Here is a 17698-nt window from a genome sequence, read left to right as displayed (position 1 = left end):
ACATGGCTGTAGCTTTGTTTAAGTGGCAACACAGCATTTTGCCTTTCCTATGCATATTATGAAATCAGTGAATCAGCTAGGGAAACTGTAAAACATGGATCATATTCCTGTATGTTTACTGTATAACCGTATAAAGTCCTGCAATATCTTTCAAAAAAGAAGCTACAACTATCTGATCTTTGACAAACCTGAGAAGAACAAGCAATGGGGAAAGGATTCCCTACTTAATAAATGGTGCTGGGAAAACTGGCTAGCCATATGTAAAAAGCTGAAACTGGATCCCTTCCTTATACCTTATACAAAAATTAATTCAAGATGGATTAAAGACTTCAACGTTAGACCTAAAACCATAAAAACCCTAGAAGAAAACCTAGGCATTACCATTCAGGACATAGGCATGGGCAAGGACTTCATGTCTAAAACACCAAAAGCAATGGCAACAAGAGCCAAAATCGACAAATAGGATCTAATTAAACTAAAGAGCTTCTGCACAGCAAAAGAAACTACCATCAGAGTGAACAGGCAACCCACAAAATGGGAGAAAATTTTCGCAACCTATTCATCTGACAAAGGGCTAATATCCAGAATCTACGATGAACTCAAACAAATTTCCAAGAAAAACACAAACAACCCCATCAAAAAGTGGGCAAAGGACATGAACAGACACTTCTCAAAAGACGACATTTATGCAGCCAAAAAACACATGAAAAAATGCTCATCATCACTGGCCATCAGAGAAATGCAAATCAAAACCACAATGAGATACCATCTCACACCAGTTAGAATGGCAATCATTAAAAAGTCAGGAAACAACAGGTGCTGGAGAGGATGTGGAGAAATAGGAACACTTTTACACTGTTGGTGGGACTGTAAACTAGTTCAACCATTGTGGAAGTCAGTGTGGCGATTCCTCAGGGATCTAGAACTAGAAATACCATTTGACCCAGCCATCCCATTACTGGGTATATACCCAAAGGACTATAAATCATGCTGCTATAAAGACACATGCACACGTATGTTTATTGCGGCACTATTCACAATAGCAAAGACTTGGAACCAAGCCAAATGTCCAACAATGATAGACTGGATTAAGAAAATGTGGCACATATACACCATGGAATACTCTGCAGCCATAAAAAATGATGAGTTCATGTCCTTTGTAGGGACATGGATGAAATTGGAAATCATCATTCTCAGTAAACTATCGCAAGAACAAAAAACCAAACACTGCATATTCTCACTCATAGGTGGGAACTGAACAATGAGAACACATGGACACAGGAAGGGGAACATCACACTCTGGGGACTGTTGTGGGGTGAGAGGAGTGGGGAGGGATAGCATTGGGAGATATACCTAATGCTAGATGACGAGTTAGTGGGTGCAGCGCACCAGCATGGCACATGTATACATATGTAACTAACCTGCACATTGTGCATATGTACCCTAAAACTTAAAGTATAATAATAAAAAAAAATAAAATAAAATATTTCTCTATAGCTAAAAAAAAAAAAAAAAAAAAAAAAAGAACCTAACGTTAAGTGTAGGTGTTATATGTGGGGAAATGTAAAGCACTTATGCTGGAATTTGCCACTTAAATCATAGTGCCTCTATGTAGAATATTTGTGTTTGATTATCCATCGTGGGCAGGGTGATGGCCGATTATACTAGTAAGGGAAAAGAAAGAATATTGTGGTGTGTATTCTTAAATCTCTTCATAGAGAGCTTTCCTGCTTGGTCACTGATGCCCAACCATTTATGCATTAATGAGTTCTCTTTAATCACTTTCTCCTTCAAGAGTTGTTGCTCTTCTTTTTTTATACAACTAGGAAAACACAGAAGCAAAGACTTCAGATTCTCAGGAGACCTAATAGAGCAATCAGCCGCTTATGACAGTTCACAAAGTACATCTCAGAACTTTTTTTGGTAGAGAGTAATGTACTTCCGAGCACATTAATGATAGGAATTAGAGTTATTACTGCCACGTGCCTAAATGCCCTCCTATTTAGTCTCCCTGTGTTTTAATCTAAACATGAGTATAATGAATAGAAGTGATACTGGTCATTCTCCTCCAACATCATTACAGGACATTAGCAACAACAAAATAACAAAATAGCAGTTACAATTTATTGAACTATTACTCTGTAGTTTATATGAATTATCTTAGTTACACTCATCACTTGTTTAGGAGAGGTATATCATTCTTACCTTCATTTTATAAATAAGAAACTGAAGAACCAGAGTGGCTAAGAAACTTGCATACGGTCACAGAGCTGATAAGTGGTAGAGCCAAGATTGACATCTGTTTATCTCCAATATCCAAGCTATTAATTACCAGATTATACTGACTACCCTGGTTATCTACTGCTGTGCAACTCAGTGAGAAAGGTTCCTCTCTGCAGCATCAAATGGGCAGCTCATCTAGGCTGAGGAATCCACTTTCAAAGTGGCTTATTCACTTGGCTGGTAAAATAGTGTGAGCGGTTTTCTTCTTCTCATTTGAGCTTCTGTGCAAGGCACATGGGATTTCTCATAACATGCTGGCTGAGTTCCAAGACTGACTTAAGAAATCCAAGAAGCTGCAATGCTTTTCGCGACTCAGTCTCATTAAACACTTACCTTACTTCTTCCATACTTCTTCTTCATCTTACTTCTTCCATACTTCTTCTTCATCTCCCTATGAAAGAATTGTCAAAGTCACTTGGTAAGAAGAGTATGTGAGTTGAGAGATCCTTATATCCATTTTTTTTGAAATAAAGTTTACCACATAGACTAATTTGCCTGTTTGAAGAATCAATAACCCACTAAGTATATGTGTACATCATAAACTTTTATTTAAATAAATTTTACTTTTGTATATTACAAAGCAATATACATTACAGAAAATACAGGTATATTAAGAAAAAGAAATTAAGAAGTAATTCCACATCTCACTCACCCAGAGACAATGAGTGTTACACATCTTTGGGCATATTCATTCAGTCCCTTCTCTGCATGCTAAGATACATGCCTAGAAGACACAGGGATATATCTATATGATACACACACATGCACACTCATACACACATACACACATGCACATGCACAGGTGTCCACGTGCACACATGAGTATCTATTTGAGTCAGGTTCATGATCTTTCATCATTCTTCCTATCTGCCATCACAGCCAAGCATATGGAATCTACTGGTGTCCAGCATATCCCCTACATTTCAGTTATAGCCATCACAATCCATAAAATTTGTAGGACTTAATTGATTGCAGAAAAAAAACTAACACTCTCCATTTACTTATTATTAATGTTCTTCTTATTTTCCTGCCTTTACTGTTAAATTTCTTAATTCACAATTAGCACACACGCTGATAGGAGAGCCTTTGGATAGTTATAACTAGCTAGTTGTTACGTATGTAATATACATATAAAACTGAAATAGGTTTAAGAGAGATTGCAGGGAGAACAACTGAACTAAAATCATAAAGACAAGTTTTTTAAAATGTGAAGAATTTTTTTAATGAGGTATTGTATTTGATTTCCAATGAGAATGACTCAATAGAGAGTGAAGAACTATGATATAGTAGTGAGATGGTAAAACTACCGGAGAAATGTTCTCAAGTAGGGAGAAAAATAGTAGAACACTACACATCTGGAGGGTTTGGCTTTGTGCAGGAGCATAAAAAGCAGAGTATGTTGATGTAGCTACCACTAAATGGCTATTCAGGCTATAGTTAGCCTACAACAGTTTTCTACTATGTGTTTGTATTTTATTAATGATAAGAAACAAGGTCAATATGCACCTATACATTTGTCATGACTTCAGGGTGACAGGTCACACCTTCTGACTCTTGAGACACAATATATGGCTATGTGAGATGCTTTGTCCAATGGCATATTAGCAGATTATAATGTGGTGAGCAGAGGTTTGAAATATGCTTGCATAGTTGGTCTTGTTCTTCTGCCTTTAATTATAAAAAGAACATACTTCAGTCAGTGTTGGCCTAAGAAGGAAGAAGTGATGTGCAGAGCAGATATAGACCTCATCTACAACTTGGAGCTGAGCACATGCAGAGCCCAGCTTCAATTAGCAGAACCAGCTGACCTACAGATGCTTTAGGAGGAATAAATTACTGAAGTTCTAAGCCACTGAGCTTTGGAGTTCCTGTGAAGAGCAAATAGTTTGCAAATATATCAGCAAGAAATGTTGAATATCTATTTTCCAACAAAATTTACATCAAAAGTAAAATTTTGCATCAACTGTCTAACAATGACAATTATTCTCAACATAAACAAATAGTAAAATACCTTTTTTTCTCTCCTAAAATTCTCCCCCATTTTTTTCAACCTTGTCCTCAACCTAAAATATCCAACTTAACACTTGATGCTTTAATTTTTTGTAGCTATCCCAGAGAGGTTTTGATACTAAGAAGAGGGGATGGCATAGTCTCAGCCCACAGTGTGTCTTGTTCTCATAATAACACATAGAGACATCTAATGTTTTGGTTATATTTACATCTCTATCTCAGTGCCTAATGCAATGTTTGGGACATGGCAGATAGTAAGTATTTGCTGAATCAATGAATAGATGAACAGATGAATATTTCATATAAACCAGGCTGTGATACATATCATAACAGTGATACAAAGAAGGAAAATAAAGATAAAGAATGGAAGAGATTCATTTCAATTCAGAATTGTGTATGTGAAAATGGAGAAATTGTTTAGGGGAAAAATAATTCTATGGCCCATAGGAAGATGATGAGTTTTTTACTTCATGTTAAAATCATCTAAGATCTTAATGAAACCCCATGAATTAGTCATCTCTAATGTACATTTTCACACCATTTTAGACTATAATTAACACCATATTTTACTTGCTTCATTTAACATAAAAACTCTAAGAATAAATCTAGCCTCGTAATAGGGTCAACTTTGAAATTCATTCCAAAAGATGATTTTAGTATTTTTAATTAAATATTTTCACCTGATAATTTGTTATCTGTCATGGTATTGGCAGTAAGCATTTCTTCTCCTATATGGATTTAATAAGAAATAATGAATTAAGCCTGGGCTTTAGTGTCAAGAGACTTTAGGTCATTTTTTCTGTTCACATTAATTCTATTACCAAAAGAATGTTATCTAATCATGCTAAATCTCCCTTTTCCCTTGTGTAAAATGAAGTTTTATTTATAATAGTTCCTGTTATTACTACCCAAGAGTTTTTTTTAAGGATTAAACTAAACTTTTAAAAAGTAACTTTTTAAGTTAAAAAAATAGAATAAATACTGTCAGGCCTCTGAGCCCAAGCCAAGACATCGCATCCCCTGTCACTTGCACGTATATATGCCCAGATGGCCTGAAGTAACTGAAGAATCACAAAAGAAGTGAATATGCCCTGCCCCACCTTAACTGATGACATTCCACCACAAAAGAAGTGTAAATGGCCAGTCCTTGCCTTAAGTGATGACATTACCTTGTGAAAGTCCTTTTCCTGGCTCATCCTGGCTCAAAAAGCACCCCCACTGAGCATCTTGCGACCCCCACTCCTGCCCGCCAGAGAACAAACCCCCTTTTGACTGTAATTTTCCTTTACCTACCCAAATCCTATAAAACGGCCCCACCCTTATCTCCCTTCGCTGACTCTTTTCGGACTCAGCCCACCTGCACCCAGGTGAAATAAACAGCCATGTTGCTCACACAAAGCCTGTTTGGTGGTCTCTTCACATGGATGCACATGAAATTTGGTGCCGTGACTCGGATTGGGGGACCTCCCTTGGGAGATCAATCCCCCATCCGCCTGCTCTTTGCTCCATGAGAAAGATCCACCTACGACCTCAGGTCCTCAGATCGACCAGCCGAAGAAACATCTCACCAATTTCAAATCTTGTAAGTGGCCTCTTTTTACTCTCTTCTTCAACCTCCCTCACTATCCCTCAACCTCTTTCTCCTTTCAATCTTGGTGCCACACTTCAATCTCTCCCTTCTCTTAATTTCAATTCCTTTCATTTTCTAGTAGAGGCAAAGGAGACACGTTTTATCTGTGGACCCAAAACTCCAGCGCCGGTCATGGACTGGGAAGGCAGCCTTCCCTTGGTGTTTAATCATTGCAGGGACACCTCTCTGATTATTCACCCACGTTTCAAGGGTGTCAGACCATGCAGGGACGCCTGCCTTGGTCCTTCACCCTTAGCGGCAAGTCCCGCTTTTCTGGGGAAGGGGCAAGTACCCCAACCCCTTCTCTCCTTGTCTCTACCCCTTCTCTGCTTTTCTGGGGAAGGGGCAAGTACCCCAACCCCTTCTCCCCTTGTCTCTACCCCTTCTCTGCTTTTCTGGGGCAGGAGCAAGTACCCCTCAACCCCTTCTCCCCTTGTCTCTACCCCTTCTCTGCTTTTCTGGGGCAGGAGCAAGTACCCCTCAACCCCTTCTCCTTCACCCTTAGCAGCAAGTCCCGCTTTCCTACAGGGCAAGAACCCCCCAATCGCTTATTTCCGCACCCCAACCTCTTATCTCTGTGCCCCAATCAATTACTTCCGTGCCTCAACCCCTTCTCTGCTTTTCTGGAGGGCAAGAACCCCCCACCCCTTCTCCGTGTCTCTACTCTTTTCTCTGGGCTTGCCTCCTTCACTATGGGTAAGCTTCCACCTTCCATTCCTCCTCCTTCTCCCTTAGCCTGTATTCTTCAGAACTTAAAACCTCTTCAACTCTCACCTGACCTAAAATCTAAACATCTTATTTTCTTCTGCAATGCCCCTTGACCCCAATACAAAGTCGACAGTAGTTTCAAATAGCCAGAAAATGGCACTTTCAATTTTTCCATCCTACAAGATCTAAATAATTCTTGTCATAAAATTGGCAAATGGTCTGAGGTGCCTGACATCCAGGCATCTTTTACACATCAGTCCCTTCCTAGTCTCTGTGCCCAATGCAACTCGTCAAAAATCTTCCTTCTTTCCCTCCCACCTGTCCCCTCGGTCCCAACCCCAAGTGTCACTGAGTCTTTCTAACCTTCCTTTTCTACAGACCCATCTGACCTCTCCCCTCCTCGCCAGGCCAAGCTAGGTCTCAATTCTTCCTCAGCCTCTGCTCCCCCACCCTATAATCTTTTTATCGCCTCCCCTGCTCACACCTGGTCCAGCTTACAGTTTCATTCTGTGACTAGCCCTCCCCCACCTGCCCAGCAATTTACTCTTAAAAAGGTGGCTGGAGCTAAAGGCATAGTCAAGGTTAATGCTCCTTTTTCTTTATCCCAAATCAGATAGCGTTTAGGCTCTTTTTCCTCAAATATAAAAATCCAGCCCAGTTCACGGCTCGTTTGGCAGCAACCCTGAGACGCTTTACAGCCCTAGACCCTAAAAGGTCAAAAGGCCGTCTTATTCTCAATATACATTTTATTACCCAATCTGCTCCCGACATTAAATAAAACTCCAAAAATTGGAATCTGGCCCTCAAACCCCACAACAGGACTTAATTAACCTCACCTTCAAGGTGTGCAATAACAGAAAAAAGTTGCAATTCCTTGCCTCCACTGTGAGACAAACCCCAGCCACATCTCCAGCACATAAGAACTTCCAAACGCCTGAACCGCAGCAGTCAGGCATTCCTCCAGAACCTCCTCCCCCAGGAGCTTGCTACACGTGCTGGAAATCTGGCCACTGGGCCAAGTAATGCCCACAGCCCGGGATTCCTCCTAAGTCAAGTCCCATCTGTGTGGGACCCCACTGAAAATCGGACTGTTCAACTCACCTGGCAGCCACTCCCAGAGCCCCTGGAACTCTGGCCCAAGGCTCTCTGACTGACTCCTTCCCAGATCTTCTCAGCCTAGCGGCTGAAGACTGACACTGCCCGATCGCCTCAGAAGCCCCCTAACCCATCACGGATGCCGAGCTTTAAGTAACTCTCACAGTGGAAGGTAAGCCCGTCCCCTTCTTAATCAATAGGGAGGTTACCACTCCACATTACCTTCTTTTCAAGGGCCTGTTTCCCTTGCCTCCATAACTGTTGTAGGTATTGATGGCCAGGCTTCTAAACCTCTTAAAACTCCCCAACTCTGGTGCCAACTTAGACAATACTCTTTTAAGCACTCCTTTTTAGTTATCCCCACCTGCCCAGTTCCCTTATTAGGGCGAGATATTTTAACCAAATTATCTGCTTCCCTGACTATTCCTGGACTACAGCTGCATCTCATTGCTGTCCTTCTTCCCAATCCAAAGCCTCCTTTGCATCCTCCCTCTTGTATCCCCCCACCTTAACCCACAAGTATAGGATACCTCTACTCCCTCCTTGGCGATCGTTCATGTACCCCGTACCATCTCATTAAAACCTAATCACCCTTACCCCAGTCAACGCCAATATCCCACCCTGCAGCACGCTTTAAAAAGATTAAAGCCTGTTATCACTCGCCTGCTACAGCGTGGCCTTTTAAAGCCTATAAACTCTCCTTACAATTCCCCCATTTTACCTGTCCTAAAACCAGACAAGCCTTACAAGTTAGTTCAGGATCTGCGCCTTATCAACCAAATTGTTTTGCCTATCCACCCCATGGTGCCAAACCCATATACTCTCCTATCCTCAATACCTGCCTCTACTACCCATTACTCTGTTCTGGATCTCAAACATGCTTTCTTTACTATTCCCTTGCACCCTTAATCCCAGCCTCTCTTCGCTTTCACTTGGACTGACCCTGACATCCATCAAGCTCAGCAAATTACCTAGGCTGTACTGCCGCAAAGCTTCCCAGACAGCCCCCATTACTTCAGTCAAGCCCAAATTTCTTCCTCATCTGTTACCTATCTCGGCATAATTCTCATAAAAACACACATGCTCTCCCTGCTGATCGTGTCCGATTAATCTCCCAAACCTCAATCCCTTACAAAACAACAACTCCTTTCCTTTCTAGGCATGGTTAGTGCAGTCAGAATTCTTACACAAGAGCCAAGACCACACCCTGTAGCCTTTCTGTCCAAACAACTTGACCTTACTGTTTTAGCCTAGCCCTCATGTCTGCGTGCAGTGGCTGCCGCTGCTTTAATACTTTTAGAGGCCCTCAAAATCACAAGCTATGTCAACTCACTCTCTACAGTTCTCATAACTTCCAAAATCTATTTTCTTCCTCATACCTGATGCATATACTTTCTGCTCCCCGGCTCCTTCAGCTGTACTCACTCTTTGTTAAGTCCCACAATTACCATTGTTCCTGGCCCGGACTTCAATCTGGCCTCCCACATTATTCCTGATACCACACCTGACCCCCATGACTGTATCTCTCTGATCCACCTGATATTCACCCCATTTCCCCATATTTCCTTCTTTCCTGTTCCTCACCCTGATCACGCTTGATTTATTGATGGCAGTTCCACCAGGCCTAATCACCACACACCAGCAAAGGCAGGCTATGCTATAGTACAAGCCACTAGCCCGCCTCTCAGAACCTCTCATTTCCTTTCCATCGTGGAAATCTATCCTCAAGGAAATAACTTCTCAGTGTTCCATCTGCTATTCTACTACTCCTCAGGGATTATTCAGGCCCCCTCCCTTCCCTACACATCAAGCTCGAGGATTTGCCCCCCACCCAGGACTGGCAAATTAGCTTTACTCAACATGCCCTGAGTCAGGAAACTAAAATACCTCTTAGTCTAAATAGACACTTTCACTGAATAAGTAAAGGCCTTTCCTACAGGGTCTGAGAAGGCCACTGCAGTCATTTCTTCCCTTCTGTCAGACATAATTCCTCAGTTTAGCCTTCCCACCTCTATACAGTTTGATAACAGATCAGCCTTTATTAGTCAAATCAGCCAAACAGTTTTTCAGGCTCTTAGTATTCAGTGAAACCTTTATATCCCTTACGGTCCTCCATCTTCAAGAAAAGTAGAACGGACTAAAGGTCTTTTAAAAACACACCTCACCAAGCTCAGCCACCAACTTAAAAAGGACTGGACAATAATTTTACCACTTTCGCTTCTCAGAATTCAGGCCTGTCCTCAGACTGCTATAAGGTACAGCCCATTTGAGCTCCTTTTTATTAGGCCCCAGTCTCATTCCAGACACCAGACCAACTTGGACTGTGCCCCAAAAAAACTCGTCATCCCTACTATTTTCTGTCTAGTCATACGCCTATTCTCCATTCTCAACTACTCATACATGCCCTGCTGTTGTTTACACTGCCGGTTTACACTGTTTCTCCAAGCCATCACAGCTGATATCTCCTCGTGCTATCCCCAAACTGCCACTCTAAACTCTTGAAGTAAATCAATAATCTTTGCTGGCAGGACTATGCTGAACCTCCTTAGGCACTCTCTAATCAGATGTACTCAGTCCTCTCAATTCTTAGACCTTTTATACCTGTTTTTCTCCTTCTCTTATTCCGTTTAGTTTTTCAGTTCATACAAAACCGTATCCAGGCCATTACCAATAATTCTACACAACAAATGTTTCTTCTAACAACCCACAATATCACCCCTTACCACAAGACCTCCCTTCAGCTTAATCTCTCCCACTCTAAGTTCCCACGCCGCCCCTAATCCCGCTTGAAGCAGCCCTGAGAAACATCGCCCATTCTCTCTCCATACCACCCCCCAAAAATTTTCGCCGCCCCAACACTTCAACACTATTTTGTTTTATTTTTCTTATTAATATAAGAAGGCAGGAATGTCAGGCCTCTGAGCCCAAGCCAAGACATCGCATCCCCTGTCACTTGCACGTATATATGCCCAGATGGCCTGAAGTAACTGAAGAATCACAAAAGAAGTGAATATGCCCTGCCCCACCTTAACTGATGACATTCCACCACAAAAGAAGTGTAAATGGCCGGTCCTTGCCTTAAGTGATGACATTACCTTGTGAAAGTCCTTTTCCTGGCTCATCCTGGCTCAAAAAGCACCCCCACTGAGCATCTTGCGACCCCCACTCCTGCCCGCCAGAGAACAAACCCCCTTTTGACTGTAATTTTGCTTTACCTACCCAAATCCTATAAAACGGCCCCACCCTTATCTCCCTTCGCTGACTCTTTTCGGACTCAGCCCACCTGCACCCAGGTAAAATAAACAGCCATGTTGCTCACACAAAGCCTGTTTGGTGGTCTCTTCACACGGACACGCATGAAAAATACTAATTATTACAAGCAATTTACATTAGCTAACAGTAATAATACTGTTTCTTATAAATGTACAAACTCCAGGCATTTGCATTCTAAGTTGTGTGAAGTGGGAGTGTTTATGTGTTCTGAGGTATTTTGGGATGCTAGCATCTCTAAGTGAATCTAGAGTAATTAGTATGCTTACCTAATTATTTCCCTTTATTTGTCAACATTTAATAAGTATTGATTCCTTACAACTTGGACATTATAAGCAGGGTTGGATTCAGGTTATGTGGGGTCTAAAGTTCATACAGCTTGGGGGCTATTTTAAAAAAGAGAATCAAAAATTATAAACAAAATTCAGCATATAAGTTAATATACATTTAGAAAGAAAAAGTAGCTTACAACACATTATAATTTTAAAAAGCAAACTAATAAGAGAAACTCAAAAAATAACATTTTTATTAATTATCTATATGTCATACCTCTATAATAGAATGTATATTATGTGTATGTTCTTTGATTGCCTTCTGATATGAGTACAAATTCTGTTTTCTTTCCTGTGGCGATAATAAAAGAAAAATTAATGTTTTATGTAGCATAGTTGGTCGAAATTGTTTTTGTATTTTGATATATATAAAAGTATGATTCATCTTCTCAAATCATTATATAACTCAAATATTTGGAGTCCCATAAAATTTTAGACATGTTGTCAAATTTGGAAAGTCTTTTATAAAAAGTGTCTTAAATATGTGAGATGTTTGCAAATCTCTGCAAAGATCTTTCGAAAAGGAACTCTTGGCTCTTTACATATCAAACCTTGTTTCTGTTCTGCTACACACATACTTCCACTGGGTAGAAAGTGATCATATCAGGCACCTTCATTTTAACCCACCAGTTGAGTTGCTCTAGAACAACAGTGTATTTCTGGACATTCTTACGCCAAAAATTCCTAAAACGTATGGCTATGATTTTGAGTTACATAATTGCATTTCACTAAACTTTATTCAAAGATATCTTTCATTCACTATCCCTTAGCCAGATCACAAAATTTCTTACAGCTGGTCCATTGGTCCTCAAGAGAAATATGTGGTAAGATGTGATTTGGAGACAGCAGTTTAAACTACTTATGGTTAAAATATTTTACAAAAATAAATGGAATACAAAATGGTACAGCCACTTTGGAAAACTGTTTAGCAGTTTTTTATAAAACTAAACGTACAATTACCATTCTACCTAATAATTTTACTACTGTCAAGATAGTGCAAGAACTCCAGAGAGATTTACCTAACTCCAGAAGTATATGTTTGCCTTTCAAAGTAAAATAAGAATCCAGAATTTGGAAACATCTCTAGATCGCAAAGCCAGGGACACCAGAGATTTTCTGCCTCTTGGAGAGATGTATTTACATTACAAAGGCTAGAGTGATAACCCAGGAAATTTTCTTAATACTTAATGTACTATTAACTCTTGGGCAAAAATAAACAGGGCATTTTACTTTGTGAGAGAATCTGGAGGATGAAACAAGAAGAAAGCAGAAGGTGGAGCAGAGAGGAGTGAAGGCTGAAGTTATACAGAAGGAGGGTAAAGCACTCAAAAGAATTGTAGGAAGAACAAGAGCAAAGGGTGATGAAAATAGGTCAAGATAAGTTTGGCAGCTGTATTATATGTTTAAAGAAAGCTACAAAAATAATATCAATTGCAATTTACTGTCATAAAATTAAGAAAGAGCTAAAAAAATGAAGCTAATGTTTTATTCCAACGGCTAGGAAAAGCAGAGGGTAAGGTAGGAACCAAAGCAAAGCACACACTTCCGAAGAGCAAATGAAAGATGTGATTAAAGAAAAGATCACACCAGCATCAGTGATCAAAGAGAAGTGAGTCCAAAGAATACCAAGGGCCTGGGCAGAGCAGATGTGCAGCATGGCTTATATGTGCATTGTTTGCTGACTTTATGCTCTTAGGGCTTTCAAAATTGGAAGAAAAATGACCTAAGTGATTATTATCGCCTCTAGTTCCCTATGGTGCTTCTAGAGAAACTGAGATCCCAAAATCAAAGGAATTTATCCAAACTCACATTTTACTTTCATCTCATAGAGCCACGACCTTTGTTTAATCAAGTTTAGAGTAAAGCTGCCTCCTTACATATTTTAAGTTCAGTCAAAAGGTTTTTCTGTACATTGTGAATTATAACAAGTGAAGCTGTAAACAGTCTGTGGCCTATACTTGTGCCAATCACTGAGTTTTGACCAATCAAATATAGCCAACTGTTCAAACCATGTTCAAATAAGGCAAATGCCGAGCTGTAACCAATCCAGTTGTTTCTGTACCTCACTTCCGTTTTCTGTATGTCATTTCCCTTTTTCTGTCCATAAATCTTCTTTCATAATATGGCTGCACTGGAGTCTCTGAGCCTCCCCTGGCTCAGAAGGCTGCCAGACTCACAAATTGTTTATTGCTCAATTAAACTTCTTTAAATTTAATTTGGCTGAAGTTTTTCTTTTATCATCTTGTATGGTTCCAGCATTATCTTTTTCAATCATGTTATAATGTTTTCTATTTTTAATTCAGATTTGAAGTAGGAATAGTTAAAACTGTATACACAGACGCTTTCTCTCTCTCTCACACACACACACACCCAGGAAAAGGAAGACAGGACATTTCATTTATAGAAAATGGCTCTTTGCAGTTTGTCATGGTAAGTTAGCATGTCACTTTAGGCAAAGATGTGAAAGGATGTGGTGAATACTGTGCATTAACCTCAAACACCCTCCACCTTCTCAGAGCTATTCAATCCTCTGGAGCAAGACCTCTATAACCTTTTACCAGCAGTCTAAGATACCCTTGGAAGTGTTAAGCTGGTGTCACATGGAATATGAAGTATCGATGGCTAAAATGTTCTAGACCATGTAGTTCCTCAAATAGAATTCCTCTATTCTATTTTAACATTTATTTTGTTCAGGGATGTTTTACTGACTGTCACTCCGTATTCTTTTATAAGGAAGTGCAACATATGTTCTCACTCATAGGTGGGAGTTGAACAACGAGAACACATGGACACAGGGCAGGGGAACATCACACACTGGGACCTGTTGGGGGTTGCGGGCTGGGGGAGGGATAGCATTAGGAGAAATACCTAATGTAAATGATGAATTGATGGGTGCAGCAAACCAACATGGCACATATAAACCTATGTAACAAACCTACACGTTGTGCACATGTACCCTAGAACTTAAAGTATAATTAAAAACTAAATAAATAAAAAGAAAGAAGTGCAATGTAATTCATGAGTGAATACACAAAAATAGCAATAGAAAGGCTTTCAGAGGAGAAGTCAGGAACTTTTACTATCACTTGCTATGTGACATTGCATTGCTTCTTAATGTCTATGGGCTCCAAGTTCAAAAAACCAGGATGGTGAAATAGATATCTAATATCTGTACCTATGTCTGTATCACATTCTGTTACCTAGATTTAAAAAAACACCTTGGTAACCTGTATATTTACAGCAAGCTTGTAGCTCCTCTCCTATAACCCTCTCTCTACCCAGGCTCTTTCTACTATCTCTTCTCTCCTTTCCTCAGACCTTCATTTCTCCACCCTCCCCAATTCCTTCAAGGTGGGGAAGGTGGGGAGCAAAGATAGCATTGACTTTCTTTTACTATATGGCCAGAAATTGGTCCTTTGTAAAGGAAACTTGTAATAATGGTTTGTATTTGGTCCTTTCTTTAATAGCTTTTTAGATCAGCGAGAAGATGGATCACAATTTTTACCTAGCCAAATAGCACTCTATGTTTTTACATCAGCAAAAGGGCTTTAGGGAAATCTCTTTCCATTTATTGAAGCTATTTGAATAAAGACCCTTTCTAACCTTTGACAACTCTGTCACAGCAACAGGAAAATATTTTGTATCTAAACCCTGGGAAATAATAGATAAAAACTTAGGGAACCATAAATGAGATTTATTGTTAGTAGTATCCAGGGCAATTTTGTCTCTCCACAAACATCAGACTATTTCATCAAAAAAAAAGAAAAACTGAAAATTAGATCTTACCACCACTGCTTGTAAGATGAAGTAGAAAGTTGCATCATTCCTTTACTACAGATTTATTGATTCAATAAAAGTTGCAGTAATAAGAAAGCCTCAGACACAGTGCTATCTGACAGAGCCTGTCTAGTAATGAAGCCAGCATGTTGCAGAACAAAGCTAAGAATGGCAAGAGACTGAGTCCTACTATGTCATTCGAAGATTCAGATAGGCTTTTCTTAAAGCCTAAAATATCCTTGGAACCTTCAGTTGTGCATATCAAACAATTCCCATTTTTGTTTGGACAACTTGAGTTATTTGTATTATTTACAATTTTTTTAAGTGCTAAAATAAATCAAGGGTGTAATGTGATCAGGTTTATATTTTATATAGAGAGCACTGTCACTCTGATGCCAGAACAGGAACAGATTGGAGAGAATAGGAGAAGGAAGATCAATTAAAAACTAGTTTACAGGAGAAATATAATGAGGGCCTAAACCAAAAGCGTCTTCGCAAGAAGGGAGGAAAGTTTAATGAAATCAGGATTTTCTTATTTTATTTCTTCTTACAGTTAGACCTTACCCCCCCAGAGCTTGGCACATAGATTACGGTAAATACATTTCTAATGAATTAATGAACACAGGGACATATTTAAAAAATAGAAGTTGATGATGGAAGAGGTAGAGATGGTGAAGGTTGGTGAGGAGTTTGTTGAGTAGAATGCTTATGAAGTACTGAGGGCAGTTGGCTGGGTGATATTGGTATCACTGAGTTTAAGAAGGAAGAATGGTTGATGGTTAGTGAATAGGGCTATATAGAAGAGCAAATAAAAAAATCAGCTTTCCACAATTTGAAGGCCTTGATTTTTTGCTTTTGATGTCTTCCATTACTCTTCTATGTCTTCAATTTAAAGCATAATAAAGTGGAATCCCGTATTCACCTATTTAAAATCTTACCTAATCTTCCAGAATTCTTACAAAATGTCCTCATGGGTGGGTAGAATTTTAACAGGTAGTTATGAAAACTTTGGCTCCTCTTGTTTGAGCAGATGCCCTCTTATCCTAATTCAAATGAAAGCTCTTTTATCTTTTTGATGGCATTTTCTAATAACCTATTTCTCACATCCCTTGAATTGCATGCCTTAGTAGCTTTTCTTCCTTGCAAAATTAGGAGCCTAGATCACTCAAGTATTCTTTTTGATGTCCTAGGACAATGCTTGGGACCTTTTGGATTTCAGCAAATATTTATAACTCATTTTATGAGGCCAGAATCATTCTGATACCAAAGCCTGGCAGAGACACAACCAAAAAAGAGAATTTTAGACCAATATCCTTGATGAACATTGATGCAAAAATCCTCAATAAAATACTGGCAAAACGAATCCAGCAGCACATCAAAAAGCTTATCCACCATGATCAAGTGGGCTTCGTCCCTCGGATGCAAGGCTAGTACAATATATGCAAATCAATAAATGTAATCCAGCATATAAACAGAGCCAAAGACAAAAACCACATGATTATCTCAATAGATGCAGAAAAGGCCTTTGACAAAATTCAACAACCCTTCATGCTAAAAACTCTCAATAAATTAGGTATTGATGGGACGTATTTCAAAATAATAAGAGCTATCTATGACAAACCCACAGCCAATAGCATACTGAATGGGCAAAAACTGGAAGCATTCCCTTTGAAAACTGGCACAAGACAGGGATGCCCTCTCTCACCACTCCTATTCAACATAGTGTTGGAAGTTCTGGCCAGGGCACTTAGGCAGGAGAAGGAAATAAAGGGTATTCAATTAGGAAAAGAGGAAGTCAAATTGTCCCTGTTTGCAGATGACATGATTGTATATCTAGAAAACCCCATTGTCTCAGCCCAAAATCTCCTTAAGCTGATAAGCAACTTCAGCAAAGTCTCAGGATACAAAATCAGTGTACAAAAATCACAAGCATTCTTATACACCAACAACAGACAAACAGAGAGCCAAATCATGAGTGAACTCCCATTCACAACTGCTTCAAAGAGAATAAAATACCTAGGAATCCAACTTACAAGGGATGGGAAGGACCTCTTCAAGGAGAACTATAAACCACTGCTCAAGGAAATAAAAGAGGATACAAACAAATGGAAGAACATTCCATGCTCATGGGTAGGAAGAATCAATATCATGAAAATGGCCATACTGCCCAAGGTAATTTACAGATTCAATGCCATCCCCATCAAGCTACCAATGACTTTCTTCACAGAATTGGAAAAAAACTACTTTAAAGTTCATATGGAACCAAAAAAGAGCCCACATCGCCAAGTCAATCCTAAGCCAAAAGAACAAAGCTGGAGGCATCACACTACCTGACTTCAAACTATACTACAAGGCTACAGTAACCAAAACAGCATGGTACTGGTACCAAAACAGAGATATAGATCAATGGAACAGAACAGAGCCCTCAGAAATAACGCTGCATATCTACAACTATCTCATCTTTGACAAACCTGAGAAGAACAAGCAATGGGGAAAGGATTCCCTACTTAATAAATGGTGCTGGGAAAACTTGCTAGCCATATGTAGAAAGCTGAAACTGGATCCCTTCCTTACACCTCATACAAAAATTAA

At 39.6% G+C, this 17698-nt stretch overlaps 1 long non-coding RNA gene across 6 annotated transcripts in view, besides 1 other annotated feature; it reads right to left on the bottom strand.

Moving 5' to 3' along the window:
- LINC02718 (long intergenic non-protein coding RNA 2718) overlaps positions 1-17698 on the bottom strand; it is a 376384-nt gene that overhangs the window by 10777 nt on the left and 347909 nt on the right. For 2 of the 6 annotated variants that reach the window (NR_187208.1, NR_187205.1), the window contains 3 exons: positions 11547-11621; positions 2937-3008; positions 2618-2675 (listed from right to left, as the gene is read on the bottom strand). This is a non-coding gene — a long non-coding RNA (long intergenic non-protein coding RNA 2718). The remainder of the gene's footprint in view (positions 1-2617; positions 2676-2936; positions 3009-11546; positions 11622-17698) is intronic. The other 4 variants (NR_187207.1, NR_187206.1, NR_187209.1 and 1 more) reach the window with 3 other exon arrangements.
- Positions 5173-5709: an enhancer, noted in NCBI's record as "OCT4-NANOG hESC enhancer chr11:23210858-23211394 (GRCh37/hg19 assembly coordinates)". NCBI's record gives its function as "activates a minimal SCP1, AML or CMV promoter by ChIP-STARR-seq in naive and primed H9 embryonic stem cells {active_cell/tissue: H9 hESC(naive and primed)}" and the evidence as "EXISTENCE:reporter gene assay evidence [ECO:0000049][PMID:30033119]".

Source organism: Homo sapiens, chromosome 11, assembly GCF_000001405.40.
Source record: "Homo sapiens chromosome 11, GRCh38.p14 Primary Assembly".
Classification (NCBI taxonomy): Eukaryota; Metazoa; Chordata; class Mammalia; order Primates; family Hominidae; genus Homo; species Homo sapiens.
This window is presented reverse-complemented; position numbering and strand designations above follow the sequence as displayed.